Here is a 4,201-nt window from a genome sequence, read left to right as displayed (position 1 = left end):
GCCGCCTTCAGAGCTGTAACACTCACCACAAAGGTCTGCAGCTTCACTCCTGAGCCAGCAAGACCAGGAACCCACCAGAAGGAAGAAACTCCGAACACATCTGAACATCAGAAGGGACAGACTCCAGACATGCCACCTTAAGAGCTGTAACACTCACCGCGAGAGTCCGCGGCTTCATTCTTGAAGTCAGTGAGACCAAGAACCCACCAATTCTGGACACAGTAAGAATCATATTTCTTGAGCAAAGAGGGAAAAAGTGAAAGGTTCACTAAAGAGGTAGTGCTGGGTGGGGAGTGGAAAGAAGAGAGAAGAGAAAAGAGAAAAATGCAAGGAGATAGAGAGATGACTGAGCAATTGGCTAAAGAACAAGAACTAGGCAAAAAAATTGAGCAATGGAAAATTGCCAGTAAGAACAGCCAATAAACTTTCAAGAGCAAAGATGTATTATAAGGTGTTAAATTTTCCATTTATTTATGAACTATGCTGTCTCATGATTAGACAATATTTTCAGTAATTGTCTTATTTCTTTTGGATATGAAAAACCACTAAGGGAAAGTAAAAGCTTCATTGAGGGGTTTATATAAATATAGATTAGATAATAAATAAGGTTACACAGAGAAGAGCAAAGAAACATAAGTGGAAGTAAGACATTTTAACAAGAGTTTCTTAGGAGAAAAAGAAAGATTCTAGAAAATTTTAAATGATATTGATTAGAGAATACTGGATTTTCGTTTGCATATGACATCTGATTGGGGATCAAGATAATTTTTAATTGGTTTTTTTAAAAAGAAAACTGGAACTCTTGGGGATACCCAAGCCAATAATATTTCTGTTAAAGATATATGTGAAAATTATTTGACACACTGTAAATGTTCTTTCAACTCTTTATCTGTTGTTCTCAAATATGTAGTAATTTTCAAAGGGAGTATCGTCGTTCTTATCACCATCATATTATTTTAACAAAAGCATTGTACATAACAGAGGCATAAATTGTTAAAATGCTGGGGCCCTCAAAATATGTCTATTTTGTCACTCATCCGCAAAGGGAGTGCCAAGTACAGTTTACCACACAACTAACAGGGGAAAAATTCTCCATTGCTCCAGGAGGTAGTCTCATCCTGAGGGTTACACGCACTAGTTTAGCATAACTCAGTACTTTCTAAAATTCGAAGCTTCAGGACACTTTTATTTGTGTAGCATTGTGAACACATATTTCGGTTAAAAATAATAATTTCAACTAGTAAGTTTGTTATATTCCTAGTTGCCTATGTCATATTCATTTAGAATACTCATTCATGCGTACATCATAATTATGAGTTATTGAATTAACATTTTCACTGATTACATTAATAGCCAAGCTTGAAAATGTAGTGTCACTTTCTAACATTGCAGATGAGGGAATAGCAAACACGTATTAATCAAGAAGAGCAGTTTCTGCAATTGGCAATATTCTAATCACTGAATTTTCAAGATTTTAGTTGTAATTATTTAGTATCAGTTTCAAATTATTTGCAACATTTTAATTGTAATTGTTTAGTATCAGTTTCCAAACTATTTGCAGTATTTTAGTTATTGTTTAGTATCAGTTTCCAATTGATTATTTTGAAGCATGATCAATTCACATAGTATTTCTTTGTCACTAGCTTATTCCCTTCATATGCTTTCAAACATGCACAGCTGTTTCTTAGTACCAGCTACAGTGAATCTATCACTGTAGGTCTACTTTTAGCAGACATTGAAACCAGAAGCTTCAAAATTCTTTAGGCTCATAACTTCAGAGAACACTCTACCTAGCTCTGGATTTCCAAAATTTTATAAACTAGTTCATTAGTCTTCAGATGCAGATAGGACTTGTCCTCTACAAAAGAATAATTATAAAAATGTTGAGCTATAAAGAGAGGGATTTGGAGAACTGTTAGGGAAAACAAAACATGACTGAAAGCTCCCTCCACAAACCCACTTGATTTTTTCTCCTTAGTCTTTTCTTCCATTGCCTATTGTATTGTATTTTAGTGGCAAGTACAACCCACTTTAACCACAAAAATTTAGAAAGAAGATAATTTATTAAAACAAACAAGGTTTTAAAGTAATCACTGCTGTCTTTCCTCCACACAAGGAAGATATTAAAAACCTGACATTTCTGAGTCTATAGTGATAATTTGCAAGGTTTTTAATTCAAATAAAATTATACTGGACTTTGTTGGAAGTGGCTGAATCATGGGTGTAGTTCCCCCATGCTGTTCCTATGATAGTGAATGAGTTCTCACGAGATCTGATTGTTTTGTGAGGGATTTTTCCCCCACTTTGCAATTCTTTCATTCTTCTCTCCTGCCAACTTGTGAAGATAGATGTGTTTGCTTCTCTCTCCACCATGATTTTAAGTTTCCTGAGGCCTCCGCAGCCCTGCAAAACTGTGAGTCAATTACATCTCTTTCCTTTATACATTACCTAGTCTTGGATATTTCTTCATAGCAGCATGAGAACAGAATAATACACTGTGGGTGCTATGTCAGAATAGTTAACTACACATAGAATTGCTGTGGTATGAGTGTGCTCATTTATAATTTTATATATACAGCTTAATTACTCTCTCTAAATTTTGAGTTATATTCCCAGCGAATCAATAGTGTTTAAAAGTACCTTTTCCCCTCATCCTAATTGTCAGGCCTCTGAGCCCAAGCCAAGCCATCGCATCCCCTTGCAATTGCCAAGCCATTGCACGTATACGCCCAGATGGCCTGAAGTAACTGAAGAATCACAAAAGAAGTGAAAAGGCCCTGCCCCGCCTTAACTGATGACATTCCACCATTGTGATTTGTTCCTGCCCCACCTTAACTGAGTGATTAACCCTGTGAATTTCCTTCTCCTGGATCAGAAGCTCCCCCACTGAGCACCTTGTGACCCCCGCCCCTGCCCACCAGAGAACAACCCCCTTTGACTGTAATTTTCCATTACCTTCCCAAATCCTATAAAACAGCCCCACCCCTATCTTCCTTCGCTGACTCTCTTTTTGGACTCAGCCTGCCTGCACCCAGGTGAAATAAACAGTCATGTTGCTCACACAAAGCCTGTTTGGTGGTCTCTTCACACGGACGCGCATGAAACTAATGACAGCTGGCTCCAGTCCTCTTGAATTTTGCTAATCTGGTTATTAAAAAGCGTACATAATTAAAGGTTTTGTTTTGTATTTGTTTTTGTTTTTTTGAGACATGGTCTTGCTCTGTCACTCAGCCTGGAGTGCAGTATCATAATAGTTCACTGTAGCCTCTACCTCCCAGGCTCAAGTGATCCTTTCAACTCAGCCTCACAAGTAGCTGGGACTACAGGCACATGCCAACATACCTGGCTAATTTTTGTAGAGATGGGGTTTCACTGTGTTTCCCAGGCTGGTCTCAACTTTCATATTTCTGTAATAATCACTGAGGGTAAGCAAATTTCATATAATTGGCCATTTGTATTAATTTTTCATTTCAATCATTTACATTTATTTGTGTATATCTATTTTTACCACAATTTTAATTGAAATGTAAATGTTTCTTATATCTCCACTTTGTCCCAGTAGAGTCAAAATATAATATAAATAAGTAAAGAGCAGGAGACATCACATTACCTGACTTAAATTATACTACAAGGCTATAGTAACCAAAACAGTATGGTATTGATATAAAAATAGACACATAGATCAATGTTACAGAATAGAGAACCCAGAAATAAAGCCATATACTTACAATCAACTGATCTTTGGCACAGTCAATGGAAATATACACTGGGGAAAGGACACCCTATTCAATAAATGGTGTGAGGAAAATTGGCTAGTCATATGCAGAAGAATAAAATTGTACCCCTATATCTCACCATATACCAAAATTCACTCAAGATTAATTAAAAATATAAATGTAAGACCAATATAAAATTTGATTTTCTTTTGCTCCAAGGAAGGATTATAGGATACAAGATAAAATATGAAATAATTATCACACCATGCAGTGAAATATATTGTAGAGATTAAGGCTCTAACATCAAGATGTTCCCATTGTTTTTAGTTGTATAAGTAATGGTGCAACCATTATAAATCAAATTTCTGCATGTGTTGCTTTGTTTCATTTTCATGGACAAGGCCAATACATAGTATTGTGGAGTAGTCAAGACGACAAAAGGCTTGTGCTTGAGAACCTTAATGAGATGCAGCCATTTTGGTGGC

At 36.3% G+C, this 4,201-nt stretch overlaps 1 annotated feature.

Annotated features, from left to right (window-relative positions):
* Positions 2,155 to 3,354: an enhancer, noted in NCBI's record as "CDK7 strongly-dependent group 2 enhancer chr11:23901013-23902212 (GRCh37/hg19 assembly coordinates)". NCBI's record gives its function as "activates an origin of replication core promoter dependent on BRD2, BRD4, P300/CBP, MED14 and CDK7 cofactors, with strong dependence on CDK7, by STARR-seq in HCT116 cells {active_cell/tissue: HCT116}" and the evidence as "EXISTENCE:reporter gene assay evidence [ECO:0000049][PMID:35650434]".

The sequence above is a fragment of the Homo sapiens genome, chromosome 11 (genome assembly GCF_000001405.40).
Source record: "Homo sapiens chromosome 11, GRCh38.p14 Primary Assembly".
NCBI lineage: Eukaryota > Metazoa > Chordata > Mammalia > Primates > Hominidae > Homo > Homo sapiens.
Note: the sequence above shows the minus strand (reverse complement) of the source record. Positions and strands in the feature narration are given on the sequence as shown.